This window comes from Homo sapiens, chromosome 10, assembly GCF_000001405.40.
Source record: "Homo sapiens chromosome 10, GRCh38.p14 Primary Assembly".
NCBI classification, from domain to species: Eukaryota; Metazoa; Chordata; class Mammalia; order Primates; family Hominidae; genus Homo; species Homo sapiens.
The window spans coordinates 124,971,359-124,990,678 of NC_000010.11; the positions used below are offsets into that span (position 1 = coordinate 124,971,359).

General features: G+C 39.4%; 2 protein-coding genes across 36 annotated transcripts in view; one reads left to right on the forward strand and one right to left on the reverse strand.

Annotated features, from left to right (window-relative positions):
* Positions 1-16,831, forward strand: part of ZRANB1 (zinc finger RANBP2-type containing 1) — a 71,296-nt gene extending 54,465 nt beyond the window's left edge. For 5 of the 6 annotated variants that reach the window (XM_006717907.3, XM_047425383.1, XM_047425384.1 and 2 more), the window contains 7 exons: positions 607-760; positions 2,287-2,358; positions 2,842-3,040; positions 10,351-10,471; positions 11,817-11,946; positions 12,101-12,330; positions 13,416-16,831. In XM_006717907.3, the coding sequence (XP_006717970.1) occupies positions 607-760; positions 2,287-2,358; positions 2,842-3,040; positions 10,351-10,471; positions 11,817-11,946; positions 12,101-12,330; positions 13,416-13,634 (1,125 nt within the window). In that variant the 3' untranslated portion in view covers positions 13,635-16,831. Of the gene's footprint in view, positions 1-606; positions 761-2,286; positions 2,359-2,841; positions 3,041-9,866; positions 9,971-10,350; positions 10,472-11,816; positions 11,947-12,100; positions 12,331-13,415 lie in introns of those variants that run through there. The other variant, XR_007061968.1, reaches the window with a different exon arrangement.
* The window catches only part of CTBP2 (C-terminal binding protein 2), a 178,147-nt gene continuing 171,785 nt past the window's right edge, over positions 12,959-19,320 (reverse strand). For all 30 annotated transcript variants that reach the window (XM_047424671.1, NM_001083914.3, XM_047424679.1 and 27 more), the window contains one exon: positions 12,959-18,340. In XM_047424671.1, coding sequence (XP_047280627.1) covers positions 18,160-18,340 — 181 coding nt within the window. In that variant the 3' untranslated portion in view covers positions 12,959-18,159. The remainder of the gene's footprint in view (positions 18,341-19,320) is intronic.

The following is a 19,320-nucleotide window of genomic DNA, read 5'->3' on the forward strand; positions in this document are numbered from 1 at the left end:
TCACTCCTGTCAGGCTGAGCTTCAGAGGTTGGCAGTCTGTGTTTAAACTTGCAGATGCCAAATGCTTTTTTAAAAACTCAAGAGTGGTAACAAATGGAGAGGAAGAAAGGGCTTGAGGTCAGTGGGAACTAACCCTTTAAATACCGTGCTTTTTTTAAGTCCAAGTTAGGGTACTTGAAACTTGTGGTGTGGGAGAAGAGTATTTGCAGTTTCCCTTTATCAGCTGTGATTCTCTGCTTCTAAAGAATGTTTTTATTGTGTGCACGATGGTTAGTCTACTGAGGTTTTCTGTCCTCTCTCCTCTTCCTGTGATGTGTCTATGAACAACACCCTTTTCCATACATTTTTATGTGCATCTTTGAGTATTTCCTTGTGATAAATTCTTAAAGAGAATTACTGAATCAGAGGATAAAACATTTTTGTGACTGTTACTGAAAACTTATTCTGGTATATACTTTCATTGGTAAGGAAATAATACCAGTGTATTTTAAGATTAAAGAAAACCTTGAGTTATTGGGAAATTTTGCTGATTTCTTTTAAATACTGTTGTTTTCTGCTTCCACTTATGATACATGAGATGAGAGGAAGGTTTCTTTTGTATTTAAGGTGTCTCAACAAGCAGCAAAGTGTATTCCAGCAATGGTGTGTCCTGAACTGACAGAACAAATCCGGAGAGAGATAGCTGCCTCTCTTCATCAGAGAAAGGGGGATTTTGCTTGCTATTTTCTGACTGACCTTGTAACATTTACATTGCCAGCAGGTAACTCCAAAATCTAACGTAAAAAGACTTTTTTATTTTATTATAGTTACATTTGTGTATGTAGGTGAAAAATGTTTCTGTTAGAAAGCACATAACATAGCTACTGTATGTGCATCTTAAATTACTTGACTGTCTTATATATGCTGGAAGTGAGCATACAGAGGATTACTTGTTAGGAAATGCGTCTGCTATCTGAGAGGAAGACAGCAGTTGATAGTAACGGATTTCTTTGTGGACCTCAGATTATTTTTTAAAAATCTGTTGTACTCTTTTATTTTTCTCTTTGGTTTTATTTTAGAATATCCTTTAAAAAAATCTCCTTTGAAAAATTTTCCCTTTTCATGCTTGTGTGTTATTTGAAATTAGATAGCTATATTGGTTACCTGGTATTAAGAGATGGGATTAGAACATGAGCTTTTGATGGGTAGAGTCAGGTTATTTGAATTGAACACACTGCATCCTCTTGAATATGTCATTCCTTTTTTACTCATTTATTTCTACTATGTTTGTGAAGGAACTTTTCATTTTTCAATTCATTGACAGTTGAAAACATCCTCCAGAATGCGTTTTGTCAGTTGGCATTGAATAAATACACCAAACACCAAACGTTTCTAAAATCTTTCATCTGAGATTCTGAGATCTGTTTGTTTTGTTGCTGTTTTTTTTTTTTTTAGATTGAAACGGGGTCTTGCTCTGTTGCCCAGGCTAGAGTGCAATGGGCGTGATCATAGCTTACTGCGCCTTCAACTTCTGGGCTCAAGTGATCTCCTGCCTTGACCTCCTGAGTAGCTAGGACTATAGGCACATGCCACCCACCCCTGGCTAATTTTTAATTTTTTTGTAGAGATGGAGTCTCGCAGTATTACTCAGGCTAGATCTCAGTGTTTTTAATTTTTATGTTCAGACAAACGGATTTTTACAAATTGTAGGAGATAGTAACTAAGTTTTCTGAAACTGGAGGAAGTTTCATTTGAAATGCACTTGTTCTGAGTATTTAAGCTTACCCCAGAATGATTAGATTTTTAAAAATTTATTTTTTATTTTTATTTTTTGAGACAGGGTCTTACTCTATCGCCTAGGCTGGAGTGCGGTGGCAGGATCACGGCTCATTGCAGCCTTGGCCTCCCCAGGCTCAAACAGTTCTCTCACCGTAGCCTCCTGAGTAGCTGGGACACAGGTGTCTGCTGCCTTGTCTGATTAATTTTTGTATATTTTTTGTATAGAGACAGGGTTTTGCCGTGTTGCCCAGGCTGGGCTCAGAATCCTGAGTTCAAGCAGTATGCTGGCCTCAGCCTCCCAAAGTGCTGGAATTATAGGCGTGAGCCATTGCACCCGGCCCAGAAAAGAAATATTTTATATCACACATGTTACACTGGTATATTAAGAAAAAGCTATCTGATAACCTTCAATGGAAAGGGAGTTATTTTAGAGAAAGTTACTAGTAGGTAATTAATAAGTGTAATTAAGTATAAGTTAAGTGTAAGTTATGAAACAAAAGATCTTTTAAGTTTGCATTTTCTTTGTAGATATTGAAGATTTGCCCCCAACAGTCCAAGAAAAATTATTTGATGAGGTGCTTGATAGAGACGTTCAAAAAGGTAAGCATGGAATTAATGAGTATAATTTACCTTTCATCTGATCAAGTAAGTTTTGTTTAGTAAGGCATGGTGTAGTTTGGTGTGTAGTCAACTTGCTTTATTTTTATTTTAAATTAAAGACGTAAAGTCCTGAAGTTCAGTGTTATATTGTATGGTTCACTGTTACAGAGTGAACAAATAAAGATACAAAAATTTTAAAACCTTGGTTCTCCGCTTCCTGTTCCAGAATGTATATATTTCTATATGAAACACTTTTTAGAAAATAAAACTGTAAAGAATTTAAAAGTTTATTAAATTATTCTAGAGACAGAAGATGTTTCAAGTACTCAAAAGTTTATATTTCAATTGGTCAATTTTATTTAGGTGTTTATTGGTAAATTACATATAAACCATTTTATAGCTAGAAAATAGGTTCTTCTCCCCATGAGTATTCTCTAATGACATAGGTATGGAAATGAACATGTATTTAAATCCATCGTACAGAATTAGAAGAAGAATCTCCAATTATTAACTGGTCCTTGGAATTGGCTACACGTTTGGACAGTCGACTGTATGCACTTTGGAACCGGACTGCAGGAGACTGCCTACTTGATTCAGTTCTACAAGCTACCTGGGGCATCTATGACAAGGACTCAGTGCTTCGGAAAGCCCTGCATGACAGCCTGCATGACTGTTCACATTGGTGAGCTGGCATTCTGCCCTGTTTCAACCCAGGAGTGCATTTGCTGGATTATTTCCTTGTAGTGGTGGGATACTTTTTATGTCAGTTATATTTTCTATGGAAACTGGAGGAAAAACAGTTCATTTTGGACATTAAAATACTTTGAACACGTCCATGGTTTCTGTTTTTGTTTTTCCCCCAAGAAATGAGATAAAAGCAAGAATCAATGGTTTTTATACATTTTTTTGCTAAATTTTAAAATAGAAACATTTGAAGCTTTAAAATGCAAGCATTTATTGTTTCTATAAGACACAGGCAGTATATTTGAACATTTCAAATGCAGCATTTCAAGTTATATATAGTAGCCTTAAATATTGATAAGGCCGTTGCTCATCTTTTTAGGGATTGATTGACTGATTGATTGATTGATCCATCGATGGAAGCAGGGTCTGGCTCAATTGCTGTGCTGGAGTGCAGTGGTGCAGTCTTGGCCCACTGCATCCTCCACCTCCTGGGCTCAAGCCATCCATCCACCTCAGCCTCCTGAGTAGCTAGAACTACAGGTGCTCATCACCATGCCTGGCTGTTTTATGTATTTTTGGTAGAGATGGAGTTTTGCCATCTTTCCCAGGGTGGCTTTGATAATCCTGATCTCAAGCGATCCGCCTGCCTGGGGCCCCCAAAGTGCTTGGATGACAGGCCTGAGCTGCCGCACCCAGCCTTATTGAATATTTGTGTTCACATAAGAGGTTATCTTGACATTGTGTTACAAGTTTTTTTCCTTCCTGAGGGAGTCTTAAGATCACATTTTTTATTTTGCAAATTTTCAAACCCATGGAATAATTTTAAAAAAATTCAGTGCAATAGATCCTGGTATTTTCTTCATTCAGTTGAGCAGTTATTAACATTTTGCCACACCTGCTCCATGTCTCCATACAGAAAGACTCGTGGGTCAATTCGTTGTAGACATCATGATGCTTTACCCTTCAAAATATCAACATACATCTTTCCAGAATAAGAATATTGTCCTACTCACCCACATCCCCATTCCTACATCTAAGTAATTCAACATTGATTCTGTTATCTAACAGTTCATAATCACATTTCTTCAATTGTATCAAAGTGTTCTTTATATATATATTTTTTAACAGCATGCAATCACTGGAAAAATAATTGTTTTTGTGAATGAATAGTTCAGTCTTTACATTTGTTTGACTTATGTGGTATTTTTTTGGTTCTTTGAACATTATCTCATTTAGTTATTACAGGCATGAGCCACCGTGCCCGGCCTATAAATTACTTTCTTGAGAGCTAAATTGTAGATCAAAGCATAATGCAGTATGGCTGGGGTTTGTGGCTCATGCCTGCAATCCTATTGCTTTGGGAGGCTGAGGCAGGCAGATCATTTGAGGCCAGGAGTTCAAGACCAGCCTGGCCAACTTGTTGAAACCCTGTCTCTACTAAAAATACAAAAATTAGCCAGGTGTGGTGGTGCATGCCTATAATCCCAGCTATTCAGGAAGCTGAGGCACGAGAATTGCTTAAATCCAGGAGGAAGAGGAGGTTGCAGCGAGCCAAGATCGTGCCACAGCACTCCAGCCTGGGTGACAGAGTGAGACTGTCTTGTGGGGAGCGGAGGGGGAAGCATAACGTAATAGAGTAACAATTTGTGGGCACATTAGAGAAATAAAATAACTTCCTGGATGACCTGACTGGATGTATAATAAAGCTAAAGAATGAATGTGTCACTCCGGTAGTTTTAGTCAATTAGTAATTGTCCTGGAGAGAGGGCTCTTTTGTGCCTCTTAGTGGAGATGGCTGTCTGGTAGTATGAAGTAGGTTCATCGGGCTGGGTAAGCCTGATGCTGGTCAGTGCTCTGCCGGTCTGGCCCTCTTGATCAGATCCTGTGGTCACCAAGCAGCTTCCTGTTGCTGATTTTCTTAGCTTCCTACTGCTGATTTTCTTGACCACTGCTATGGGCCTGTCTATGTCAAGAGGATGAACCTGGTTTGGTTCCTAAGACAGTGGGTTCTTGGCATTGTGGTTTCACAGGTCTGCCTTGTAGTTTTGGTTAATGTCACTCTGCCCTGTAAGATGGAAAGCCAGGTTTGAACTGTGGTAAATCTACCACTTTGCAGGTTCTCTCTAAAAAGGCAGCCAGTAATCTTTTCTTTGGTGGTAATTTCCTTTTTTTTTTTTTTTTTTTTTTTTGAGGCAGAGTCTTACTCTGTCGCCCAGGCTGGAGTGCAGTGGCATGATCTCGGCTCACTGCAACCTCTGCCTCCCGGGTTCAAGCAATTCTCGTGCCTCAGCCTTCGAAGTAGCTGGGATTACAGGTGGCGCCACCATACCTGGCTAATTTTTTGTATTTTTAGTAGAGATGGGGTTTCACCATGTTGCCCAGGCTGGTCTCGAACTCCTGAGCTCAGGCAGTCCGCCCACCTCGACCTCCCAAAGTGCTAGGATTACAGGCGTGAGCCACCGCGCCTGGCCTTTTCTTTGGTGGTAATTTCCTGATCTGTTGAAAGGCCAAAAGTACACTGTGGATTTTAGAAGTGATGTCTTTTTTTTAGTGATGAGGGTTTTTGGTGGTGGTGTTTGTTTTTTGAGAAAGGGTCTTGCTCTGTCACCCAGGCTGAAATGCAGGGGCACGATCTTGGCTCACTGCATCCTTCACTTTCTTGGGCTCAGGTGATCCTCCCACCTCAGCTTCCTATGAGTGGCTGGGACTGTAGGAGTGTGCCACCACACGTGGCTAATTTTAAAATTTTTCTGTAGAGATGAGGTCCTCACTGTATTGCCCAGGCTGGTCTTGAACTCCCGGACTCGAGTGTTTCTTCTGCCTTAGCCTCCCAAAGTGCTGAGATTACAGGCATGAGCTACTACTGCACCTGGCCTTTTTTTTTTTTTTTTTCTTTTTTTAAAAAGACATTTGTGGTGAGTAAGAATTGCTTTGGGGTTTATGCCCACCTGTTCCTCAGAGCTGGCTATGGATGATCTTATGAGTGAGTTGTCACTAATGTTTGTATCGGGACTGGAATTCTCAGATGGTTGCAAGTCATTTGAGGTCCCAGAAGTCCAGCATAGAGATAGGGAGATTGTGGGCAGATCTCTTGAGCCTAGGAGTTCAAGACAAGCCTTGGCAACATAGTGAAACCCTGTCTCCACCAAAAAATACAAAATTTAGCCAGGCGTGGTAGTGTGTGCCTGTAGTTCCAGCTACCTGGGAGGCTGAGGTGGAAGGATTGTTTGAGCCTGGAAGGTTGAGGCTGCACTGAGCCAAGATCATGCCACTGCACTCCAGCCTAGGTGACAGAGTGAGACCCTGCTAAGAAAAAAAAAAAAAAAAAAAAAAAAAGATGGTTTGGTGGAGAAATACAGTCTGATGTTGTAAATAGGCTAGATAGGGAGTGGCTACTAGGGTGAGAAGGAACTAGGCTGTTTGTTTACAGCCACTGGCAAGAGTTGTTGCAGCAGAACTTTTAGTCCATAGTCCTGACTCTTAAAGGATGCTTCAGGAGTGAGCACCTAGGGCTGGCATATGGACAGGTGTCCCAGAACAGCATGGTTTGGCATCACCTCCTCCAGTCCCTGCCACCGGGGAGCTTTGCCCGATGGTTTACAGTTCAGGCATAGGAAGCTGCATTGATTACAGTGATCACACAGACATCCTTACAGTATTGGGGGGTGGGTTGGGGTGAAAATTAGTGGTTAGATAGTAAGTGTTGTTGCCATGGATTCGGGAGATCAGATATACTAGCCCTAAGGAATAACCCATACATAGTTCTTGTGTTGAGTTGCATTAGGTTTGTCCACTGGGCCTGTCATGTGACCAGTAGAGAGTAGAGTGAGCAGCCGTGGGTTTTCTAGGCCAGGAGAGGAGGAGCCAGCATGTAGCTTGTGTAGTCTCCTTTTAAAGATGCTCTTTGCTGAGGTGCCTTTTGCACTTAATTGAAATCAGCTGGAGTGAGATGTTTTCTTAAGTCATATAAGATACATAGTAAGAACTGAGAAAGCAATTTTCTTTTATTTGAACCCCTCCACCCGTCACTTCAAGATAGGCTATTTGTGTTTGTAGCTAGCTGTGCTGTTCTCTTGGATACCCGTGATTTTAGCTGACTCAGGTTCTCAAGTCTGAATATATTGTACTTGCCTTTCAGTGACATGCCAACCCAATTTCCCACGGGGCAGGTGGAGGCGTTTAATGTTAATTGGGGAAAAAAATCAATATAAGTCTTTTAGAATTATTCCTTTTTTTCTTTTTGGAGACAGGGTCTTGGTCTGTTGCCTGGACTGGAGTGCAGTGGTGCGATCTTGGCTCACTGTAACCTTATACCTTGTGGGCTCAAGCAATTCTCCCACCTCAGCCTCCCAAGTAGCTGGGACTACAGGCACATGCCAACATTCCCAGCTAATTTTTTTTTTTTTTTTTTTTTTGTATTTTTTTGTAGAGACGGGGTTTCGCTATGTTGCCCAGGCTGGTCTCAGACTCCCACCTCGGCCTCCTAAAGTGACTGTTTTTGTTATGAAGAATTATCGGCCGGGCCTGGTGGTTCAGGCCAATAATTCCAGCGCCTTGGGAAGCTGAGGCTGGAGGATTGCTTGAGCTCAGGAGTTCAAGACCAGCCTGGGCAACATAATGAGACCCTGTCTGAAAACAAAGAAAAACACAATGAGATACTACTTCACATGCACATAAATGGCCATAACCAAAAAGACAAATGATAACAGTGTTGTTGAGAATTTGAAGAAATTGGAATCTTCATACATTGCTGATAGCAACGAAAAATGTTCTAGGTCTTGAACTCCTGGGCTCAGGTGATCTTCTAGCCTCAGCCTCCCAGTTAGCTGGGATTGCAGGCACATGGGCTCCTTGTGATTTTGATTTGCATTTCCCTATTTAATGATGATACTGAGTGTCTTTTCATGTGCTTATTGCTCATTCCTATAGCGTCTTTGGTTTAATATCTTTCCACGTCTTTTGCTCATTTTTAAATGGATTGTCTTAATATTGATTTGCAGATGTTGTTTGTATCAGGTCCCTTATTGGATATCTGCTTTGCAGATATTTTTTTCTATTCTGTGGCTTGTCTTTTCACTTCATTAGCAGTGTCTTTTGAAATCACGAGTCTTTAATTTGATCAAGTTCAGTTTATCAATGTTTTTCTGTTATTGCTCATGCTTTTGCTGTTGTATCTGAAGAGATTTTTGTCTAGCCCAAGGTCACGAAGATTTACTCCTGTGTTTTCATAGAAGAATTTTATAGTTTTAACTTTTACATTTAGGTCATTTTTGTTTTACATTTTGAGGTCATTTTTGTTTAAAGTGTGAGATGTCCTAAATTCACCTTTTTGCATGTGGATACCCAGTTGTTTCGGTACCTTTAATTGAAAAAAACCCTTTCTACATTCTATTGCCTTGGCAATTTTGTCGAAAATTAGTTGACCATAAAAGTAAGGGTTTGTTTCTGGACTCTTAATATTTTTCTATTGATTTATTTTTCCACTGGGCTATCGTTATGTCATTACCAGACTGTCTGGATGATCATATCTTTGTAATACATTTTGAAATCTGGACTGTAAGTCATTTGACTTTGTATTTCTTTTTCAACATTGTTTTGACTATTTTGAGTCCTTTGGATTTCCATATACATTTTAGGATACAGCTTTATCGATTTTTGTAAAAAAGACAGCTGGGATTATGATTGGGATTGCATTGAATCTGTAGATTTAATTGGGGTGATGGTGGTATTGCCAGCTTGACAATATTGAGCCTTCCAATCCATGAACATGGAATTGAGTTTTGAATGTTAAACCAAACTGGTATTCCTGTACCATTTGGTCATATATTGCTGGATTTGGTTTGCTTGTCTGTTCTTATGGAGACTCTGGTAGTATCAGAGTTTAGGTCTTGGGGTGGTGAGGATGAACATTTTAACATGTTTAGTTTTAAAGTATATTTCATTGAACCTCCCTTCTTCAGTGGTCTTTGAAGAGTTTTGAGTGCAATCACCATTGAATTTCTGGCTGGCTTAGCTGTCTTATTTATAAAGTTATTTTAGGCACCAAGAAATTTCTAACTGCATATAACTTTCAGTATTGACAATTTCTCTGATATTTCTCCTTGAACTTTTCAAAACAATGTATTTCATCACTGTTGCCAAAATTTTCAAGACACATTTATCTTAGCGATTATAAAAGAATATACATATTTTAATTTTAAAACATTTGGAATTATGATTAAACATCCTCAGTTACGTGGAGTATGAAAAATGTTTTAAACTGAGTTAAACCTCTGGAACATTATATTTTAATTTCTTTAGGAAATATATTTACTCTCTAAGGAGCCCTTCATTAAATTACTGTAAAGTTACTTGTGACACCACCCATTTAACTTTTTTTTTCCCCCCGCAATATAGCCGGGGTCTCACTATGTTGGCCAGGTTGTTTTGAATTCTGGACCTCAGGCAATCCTCCTCCTTCAGCTTCCCAAAGTGCTAGAATTACAGGTGTGAGTTACCACACGTGTTCACGTTTAACTTTAATATGCTGAAACTTTTTAACAACAGGAACAGATTGGTCTTTTGTTTCTTTTACCTAGAATTCAGATGTATAGAAGATAAATGTGATGTTATAAACAGATTAAATGTCTGTCTGCATTTTAGAGGTCTTAGTTGGCTTGTTTTTATAAGACAGTGAACCATAATTTTGAGCATAATTATTTCTGAATTTTTATATTTGATAGACAAAGAATCGATGTGTTTTCAGTAATTCAGTGTTAAGCATAAAGAAGGAATGTTTTCTGTCATTGCAGTGGGTTTCTTTTTGGTTGCTTTTGAATTATTAGGTGATCATCAGAGAAATTATTTATGGAAAGAAATCTCAGGGAGATGATCTTGATACTATGAACACACGGAATATTTCCCACCTGTTGTTTATACAAGTGATCAAGTAGGTGGTGTACTATACATTGATAGAGAAATGTAGTGTCTTTGTATACAACATTTCAGATGACTTTTTTTTTTTTTTTTTGTAAACTAATTGTGGACAGTGGAAAATAACCAGTCTCATCATTAGCGTTTGAAGTTTGAAAATTTGGTTGTCGGTAAATCAAATTCTGACTAAAGATGTTAAAGGATGTTACAAGGTATCTGCTAGTGGAAGAGGGAGGCATTTTTCATTAGAAAAATACATTACCAACCAGACAAAATAAAATTATTAATTGTTTCACAGACTGCTTAAAGACTGCATTAAATAAAAATGATCAGAACTTTAAATGTTTTATTTATAGAAGACTATTTATTTATTTTTTTACTATCCTGCTTTTTTAGGTTTTACACACGCTGGAAAGATTGGGAATCATGGTATTCTCAGAGCTTTGGTTTACATTTTTCCTTGAGAGAAGAACAGTGGCAAGAAGACTGGGCATTTATACTCTCTCTTGCTAGTCAGGTGAGGATGCTTCAAGTCTTGTTGCTTCTATGAGAAAAGTAAGCATGTAGTCTAAACTGGTTTATTTGAGCAAACCATGTTGGGGGCAATGTGGTCAAAGAAAAGAATGCTTGACGTGGTATCATCAGTCAACTTGGGTTCTAGTGATGACTGCTGTGTATCAAATAAATAGCATCGCAAGTATAGATGAGCATCGCAAGTATAGATTAGCATCGCAAGTCCTCACTGCAGAGCAGGAAGAGTAACGTGTTTTTATATCGAATGATTAAAAACATCAAAAAGTGAAAGCTGTGCTATGACGGTTACATACAGTAGATAGTCTTGGGATTGCTCTCCGTTCCTGCAGCATAGGCTTGATGCCTATGGTACCTATCCAGGTGAGCTCTGTTCTGTCTCTGGGGACACTTAAGATTACTGGTGTAGGTACTTGCATTGCTGTTGCTGATCTGTCAGGCCCTGAGGAACCAGTTGTCAATCTTCATAATGCTCCCTGTGGTGAGGCAATACCTGTGTCATGTAGGCAAAGGAAAAGGGTAGTTTAGCTTACTCTGAACTAATTACCATCAATAGGAATGATTTCTGATTAATGTGGGAATGAAGTTTTGCAAGTTTGCTAACGTCTTTTTATTAATGAAGGCTGCTTGTGACACAGAACTGTGTAGGGTTGTCCCTTAGACTCTTGGTTTCATGCTTTATTTTGTGAAGCACTTCAGTATACCAAACTGTAAAGTACAAATATATATACAACTACTCCTTTTTTTTTGCAGAAAGCACCATGGTTCATTTGAACTTAGAGAAGGAGGTACCCGATCTTTGGGCAATTTGGGCAGGATTCATAGTGGTTGATTTACATGAGACATGTATCTCACACCATGCATTGTAGCTCGATGATGGACCCATTTAATATTAGTATTCACGAGTTAGTTGATACTGCCATTTACATTTGCATGAAACAGGCTCACTTATTTATTTCAGGAGGACTTTGTTGTAGGTAGTGCTTTCACAGTAACTTAACGAGAATGTGATAATAAAGCATCCTTAGTTATCTGAATCTCTGGTTCCTGAGGTTGGAGAGTTAGTAGTGAGGGATATTTCAAAGTATGTATGCACATCTGTATAATTTGTGAGTTTGGATGGTAAATGATATTTGCATGTAGCCTTTATAGATTTCTTTTACAGTTTTACTGGATTTATTATTTGAGGAATCAAATGCTGCTTTGACAATCTTTTCTTTCTTAAAAACCAACTGCGATAGTATACTGAAGGGGAGGTAGTATTGTTTTTTACACATCAGTTTTCCAGGAGTGGTAATAAATGTTTTAAGTTTTTGTTTTGTTTCGTACAGCCTGGAGCAAGCTTGGAGCAGACGCACATTTTTGTACTGGCACATATTCTTAGACGACCAATTATAGTTTATGGAGTAAAATATTACAAGAGTTTCCGGGGAGAAACTTTAGGATATACTCGGTTTCAAGGTAAGCCATTATTCAGGAACGTTTTACAAGTTTCTTTGAACGGAATGGCTCAGATGTCAGGAAGGAGCAGTGGACAGGGGAATGTGAACAAGGGCAGTGAGGGAGTGGCTCTTTCTTCCTGTGACTGTTGGGATTTTCTTCCCTCTCTTTCCAGGTGTTTATCTGCCTTTGTTGTGGGAACAGAGTTTTTGTTGGAAAAGTCCGATTGCTCTGGGTTATACGAGGGGCCACTTCTCTGCTTTGGTTGCCATGGAAAATGATGGCTATGGCAACCGAGGTGCTGGTGCTAATCTCAATACCGATGATGATGTCACCATCACATTTTTGCCTCTGGTTGACAGTGAAAGGAAGCTACTCCATGTGCACTTCCTTTCTGCTCAGGAGGTAAGCAGTTTCTCCTATGAACTATTTCTAGTAGTGACCTTGTACCAGAAACAGCCTGAAGTGCCTTTCAGGTGTGGTTTTATCTGCACTATCACTTAATTTCTGAATGTGATGGTAGTAATTGCTGAAGGTACTAGCTATACTTTGAAATTTACCTTTTCAAAACTGCTGTATGGGGACACATCAAGGAACTTAAGGTGGTGATGGGTTTTAAGAAGAAAAAGTAAAGATGAGGTTTGTGATTTAAATATGGCATTTTAGGGAATGAGAAGTGAGTTTTTATCTGAAAGCAGAGTTCCAAGAATTGCAAGGCCAGTGTGGTTTAAGAGGGGAAGCAACAGGGAAAGAGAGAGGGTAGGCGGCAGGGGGAGGGAGGAAGGGAGAAGAGGTCAGAGAGGATAGGGATGGGGGGGAGTTCATTGAAGGCTTTTTAAAGCTTTGGGTTTTACTCTGGATAACGTGGTAAACCAATGGCCAGTTTACCCAGAAGAGGAACATTTGGGGTCTGGTGCATGGCAGGAGCAGGAACACCAGGTATTGTAGATGAAGGGGAGTGAAAGGGTGCTGTAGACCAGACAGGGGAGGTGGTGAGAAGGTACAAAAACAACGCTCTTTCAGAAAGCCAGTATTCTTATAAAAGTATTGGTCTTTTATTTAATATACTAGTAATTATAAAACGTTTATAATCACAACATGAAGAAAAAAAGTTCATAGACCGTAACTTGTATAATTTCAGCTTGTACATAATTGACTAAGTAAACTTACCTTGTCATGTGTTTGAAGCTGTGGCTTGCCAGGATCAGTTTATTAGGACATTTGTTTTTTATTTTATCTAACAAATTACCCTCTAGTGTGCTCCTCTTTAGTTTTTTTCTGAGAAATTTCCCATTTATGTCTTTTTAAATTTAACCAGAGCAAACTGGACTTTAATCACAAAACTTCCAAGAGGTCAAAACCATGTGAAAAGTTGATTGCTTTGGCCTTTTCATGAGTTAGCATACCAGCTGTAGGTTTCCATGTCACATTCCTACCAAGTCTCTGATCTGTTGTATGATTTTCCCTTTGTCTTCATATTCCTCCAAAAGCTAGGTAATGAGGAACAGCAAGAAAAACTGCTCAGGGAGTGGCTGGACTGCTGTGTGACGGAGGGGGGAGTTCTGGTTGCCATGCAGAAGAGTTCTCGGCGGCGAAATCACCCCCTGGTCACTCAGATGGTAGAAAAATGGCTTGACCGCTACCGACAGATCCGGCCGTGTACATCCCTGTCTGATGGAGAGGAAGATGAGGATGATGAAGATGAATGAAAAAAAAAATCAAACAGCAGAAGACCAAGGCATCAGATCTGTAATGACCCTAAAGTTAGTGTGGTGCTCCAAGCAGAGTCGACATCATGGAATGAACCAAATCTGGCAGGATCTGCTCGGGGAAGTGTTTTCCTGGACCACACACACCTTATGGAGATAATGCCTCTGCTGCGTGAGGAGACAGAGAACTTTAGTTGGACTACAGTTTGTAAAAAAAACTAATTTTATTAAGACAGAACTTTTTTTCCTTCCAAATTGTAAATCTGTCTATAAATGTAACGCATGTGGTTGTGTAAGACATTGTTTAATAGGAAAAGTTGTACCAGCATCTTCATATTATTGAGAAAATTTTTTCCAGCATGGGCACTTAGAAAAAGCACATGGCAAATGGCTCTTTGTTCCTTTCAGATATTATTTCAGTAGAACCTGGCATTCTACTTTCACCTTAAAAGATCCATCTAAGTCTCAGATCTGGAAACGTTTTGTACCGATTATCCACAGCAAAACAAAAATAAGCTTTTATTTTATTAATAATTTCGTTCCTCTTGTGCCCAATCAAATCTTTTAGGAACAAACTGCAAGAAAAGCTAAGAATGTTTTAGAGTGAACTAAATACAGACATTGCTTACTTGTTTTGAAGAGGGTTTTGGTTTTGGTTATTGTGTCTTTAAGTTTTCTGATATGCCCCCTTTCAATATTTAGATATTTATTTGTTGGGAAGAATACCTTAAAATGAGGGTTCTTATTCCAGATTCTGGGCAGTGGTCTGTGAGTAGTTTTTTTCCTGGATGAAAAGGGAGCAAGCCCACTTGTCACTAAATGAATTGTGTGAAATGTGCTCACTTGGACTCCATCAACAATGTGCTGCTCCCAGATTGCCATGCCAGAGGGTCTTCGGATTCTTCCTTCTATCACCTCTGCTCTAAGCAAATCTTGTTAGAAGGGCATGCCTTTGCTTAGGCAGATTGGGAATACCAATTCACTACAGAATAAAGATTTTAAAAATGCAATAAGGTGGCAAATGCATTGTATGAAGAATTTCTCAGTGTTTAGTCTGAGAATTTTTGCATGTTGGTTAATTGTGGCCATTCTTTAATTTAAAGTTAAAACTATAATCTTAGGTAGAAAAACTTTTTTATAAGAAGTATTATTTGACCACTTCAGGTATACATTCAATACTGGGTAAAAATTTCAGACCTATCTCAGGAACACAGAAATATTTGGTGTCCTGATAAGCACTTTCTAGACTATTGATGTGGCCAGGAATTTGGAAAGACGACACACGCACGCGCGCGCGCGCACACACACACACACACACACACACACACACAGTTTTTTCCTTCCCTGTGATGAAAAAGGCTGTGAAAACCTTAAAGTATTTGCTTGCTTCTTGTTTTGTTTAGTTGATAATGAAATGTGTACAACCTCAAATTTGCTGCCAGAATACTAAAAATAGAAAAATACCCACAAAACTGTCATGTCTTTAGTTCTTTCCCCCCGAAAACTCAGTAAAAAGGTGTTCCCAGGATGAAAAGATCATTTTTTGCTGCATGCTAAATCTTGCAGGAAAAATGATTTTTTAGTACGATTCTGTAGAAATGAATCTTTGATATAATGTAAATGCTGCTGTTTGTTTCAAGTGGTGAATGTGTTGTTAAAAATTGGCTGTTTGCTTTCATTTTGGCCAATAAGTAATCAAGTTTGTAGAAAATGTTAGCATTCTGACTACTTAGCATCTGTAGTAATTTCTCTATGTATAGGGATAATTTTTTAGTGGGCAGAGATCCTGTTCTAGTTGCCTGTTAAGCAAAATCTGCCCTCCCAATTGAAAAAGCCAAAGAGAATTGTTAGAGGGAAAAGCATGTAGCCATTGCAGTCTGCATTGCAGCCAGCGTTGTCCAGAGTACACGCTCAGCACTTAGCTTCTACTGTGTGTTGTGGTCTGGTGAGTGTTGTTTCCCCTGAGCGCTCTATTATTTATTTATTTATTATCAATCAGTGACCCTGACCACATAGTGTGATAGGTGCAGCATTCTTCCCTGTGGGAAAGAATTAAAGATGGTTCCATTTCCTAGGCTACAGACAGGAATGGGGCTCTAAATGGTTTTCATAGACTGGCTGTTAAAGGCCAAAAATTTTGGTAAATCAATGCTATATTATGCTCTTGAACTATTAAAACAGCCATAATTATTGTCCCAAGATAGAATATAGTCCTTTTTCAAAGATGATTATACGTGGCTAGGTGACAGACATTAATGACTGACTCTGGAGAGTAAGTCATACCTGCACTCTGTGGACTTGATGGTTCTTTTTCTAGAGCAAACAGAGCGTGGCATTTTGTTTTGACTTGTTCTTCCTTGGGGTCAAATTTATATATATATATATAAATTTTTGTTTGGGCGACCAAGATCTAATAATTAAAACCCAGGTGGACCATGGATTCAGACCTGCCTTTTTATGTTTTTGACTCTTAGGTTCATCGTGTCCCAGACTTCTTCACATATTCGTGAAGGTAAGATATTCTGTGTGCGCTTGGCCTCCTTTTCACGCATATTTCATTGCCTCTTTGATGAGTGGTTACGAAGACGTTAAACTACCTTTTTGTTCCCTGGGGTAATAGGTCAGTAACTATGAGCGCCGTCTCTCTCCATGTGAGCTTGTGTTAATAGACACTTTTATGGTAGAGTTGGGATGGGGCCACCACCTTAAAATGAGTGAGCAGACAAGGCCAGGCAAGCCAAAGGCTTTAAGACACCATGATTTTCTTGTTTTGTTTTAATTGGGAAGGGAAGTATAAGGAAGAGCTCAGAGGGAGTTTCATACCTGGAATTGTTGGACTTAATTGACACTTGCAAATACTTTTAGTATAAAGGTTTAATTCTATTTAAAAAGAAGATCCATTAAATCAAGCTCTTAACTCATGGGACTATTTGCAACACTTCTTTGTAAATATCATTTTGTTTGTTAGGTTATTGGCAAAACAGTTTCAAGGTTCACTTCCCTCCCTTGAACCAGGTCCAGGTCATTTTGCTTTGGGGTAGATTAAAGTCAGAACTCTAAAAGTTGAGCAACTTTGTTTTTTTTTGAATTGATTTAGCACTAACCCACCATTGCATCTTAAGGATGGCATGACGTGATAATGATGGACTTGTGTGAGGTTTTGATTTTTCAATTAAACTTTTTGTTATCACAGGTAATTAATTGTCAGCGGTCTTGAGTCTGGTTATGGAACCCTGTAGTAACAAGAGCTGGAAATTGGCTAATTGACAATGCAATTGCCTTAAACATCTCAAGTAGAGAACATTTACATTAGTGAGATGTACTTGAATTTCAGAACTTAACAAATTTTAATTACTTTTTATTGAAAACTGCACTGAACGCTAAATGTCCACCTTTACAATAAACAAATACAGTAACGGTAACTCACACTAAAACAAAACATACTTCTGATAGCCATTATTTTTCTGTTTGGGACAATTTTAAAGTTTTTCTTTTGTCACAAAAACAGGAATGTACCTATACAAAGGCTCAAAATAGGCCATCTTTTTAAACAAAAAGGCAATGATTCACAAAAGACTATGAATAGAACATGTAACTAGTTGATACAAATCTAATAGGATTTGTTAAAATCAGTCACATCTAATACATCTGAAGTGTTCTTGTATAAAATATCACGTGAAGAAAAGAAGACTTTATCAATGTCTAAAAAAGTGGGTTTGTTCATAGACAATCTGACAAGTTACCATAAAAAGTGTTTCCTGAGACATAAGGAAATGCAACATTATTCTTCTTGAACCCTTTTAGCTCAAGACTTTCCACTCAATAAAATAGCAGAGGATCTGAAACTGAGAAAATATATTTGAGTACAAACAGCTTGTGAAACTTAATACTTTTTTTTTTTTTTTTGCATCATCAGAGGGTTTTACTGAACTTACAACCGACTTGCCCGCTCAGTATGCAGTTCAGATGTGAGAGGCGCTTCTCTGTACAGCAGCCTGTACTGTCTTCAATCCTATGCGTGCAGGTGTCTACCACAGGCAAACAGTTTTCTCCCCATTTTGTAGTAATGTGATTTTCCTATTAGCAAAAAGAGGTCACCAGCCCCTGTAGACTTAAGGGACTCAAGTCACAGGATGGGGATTTCCTCTTAATATTTTTTATTTTGTTGTTTGAACTCTTGATGCAACATTGTAGAGCAGGGTGTTCAGGACCTGCTGTGCCCAAGGGACTGATAAAGGAAAAAGCTCTATTTATTCTTTTTGTGATTTGATGCACAGATGAAAAACTTAACACACAATAACAGAAGTTGGTCGTTAATAAATCACATCCTAGTCTTTCAGCGCTTCCGTAAGCAGACGACATCTTCAGTTTTCTAGCTCTTGTAGTTTCAACACTGCAACATCAATGATGCATATGTCCAGAATCAGTTACAAAGACCATCCGATTCTTTTTCTCTTAGTTCATCTATTTTTCACTGTCTCTTGGTCCCAAGTGTATCTGAGTGATTACCTTCTGGCATTCTCTGCTATTGCTCGTTGGGGTGCTCTCGATTGTCCCCGTGTTTTGTGGGCTGGTTGGGAGAGGGCGCTTGGGAAGGATGTGCCACTGTCGGGAGGTTGTGAGTCACTGGGATGCCTCCAGGGATGATCCCTTCCATGGCTGCAGGAAGTCCTCCTGGAGCCACACCCACGATGCCTGGCGGATATCTAAGGAACACACAGAAATAGGGCCTTGTAAGTTCAGGGCAGAGTTGCCAAGCTCTTGGCTCTTCTACTTCTGGCCTTTTCATAAGAGACAGGAGCCCAGTGACATGAACATGGCTCACCTTGACCGACCTTCTGGGCTCAAGTGATCCCACCTCAGACACCCAAGTAGTGGCGACCACAGGCATGAGCCACCACGCCTAGCTAGTTTTTGTATTTTTTTGTAGAGATGCGGTTTTGCCAGACTGCCCAGGCTGGTCTCAAACTCTTGAGCTCAAGTGATGCCCCATCATAGGCCTCCCAGAGTCCTGGGAGTACAGGCGAGAGACACCAGGCCTGGCTAATAGTTTTTTTTTTTTTTTTTGAGATGGAGTCTCACTCTGTCGCCAGTCTGGAGTGCAGTGGCGTGAGCAATCTCAGCCCACTGCAACCTCTGCCTCCTGGGTTAAAGTGATTCTCCTGCCTCAGCCTCCCAAGTAGCTGGGACTACAGGTGTGCGCTACCACACCCGGCTAATTTTTATATTTTTAGTAGAGACGGGGTTTCACCACGTTGGCCAGGATGGTCTCAATCTCCCGACCTCGTGATCCGCCCGCCTCAGCCTCCCAAAGTGCTGGGATTACAGGCGTGAGCCACCATGCCCGGCCCTGGCTAACGATTTTTATGGGATAGTTTATCTTCCCTATCCCCAAAGCAAGGAGAAGTCTCAATTTTTATATAAAACACTGGCAACTAATTCATAAAAACAAAACTAGTCCAATCCAAACACGGGGCCACTAATTTTGTAGCTTTTAGATAAGAAGATATTAGCCCATACTATTTATGAATGTGGATACATTATACTATTTAAAAAAACCCACTTTGTACAAAATGGACTCCCAACTGTTCACCAGTTACTTCTGACTGATAAAATGATTTCCCAACAGAGTACAATGGACCCTTAGGGACTCAATGTTTGTCTCCCTCCATCCCCCTAATTCCAG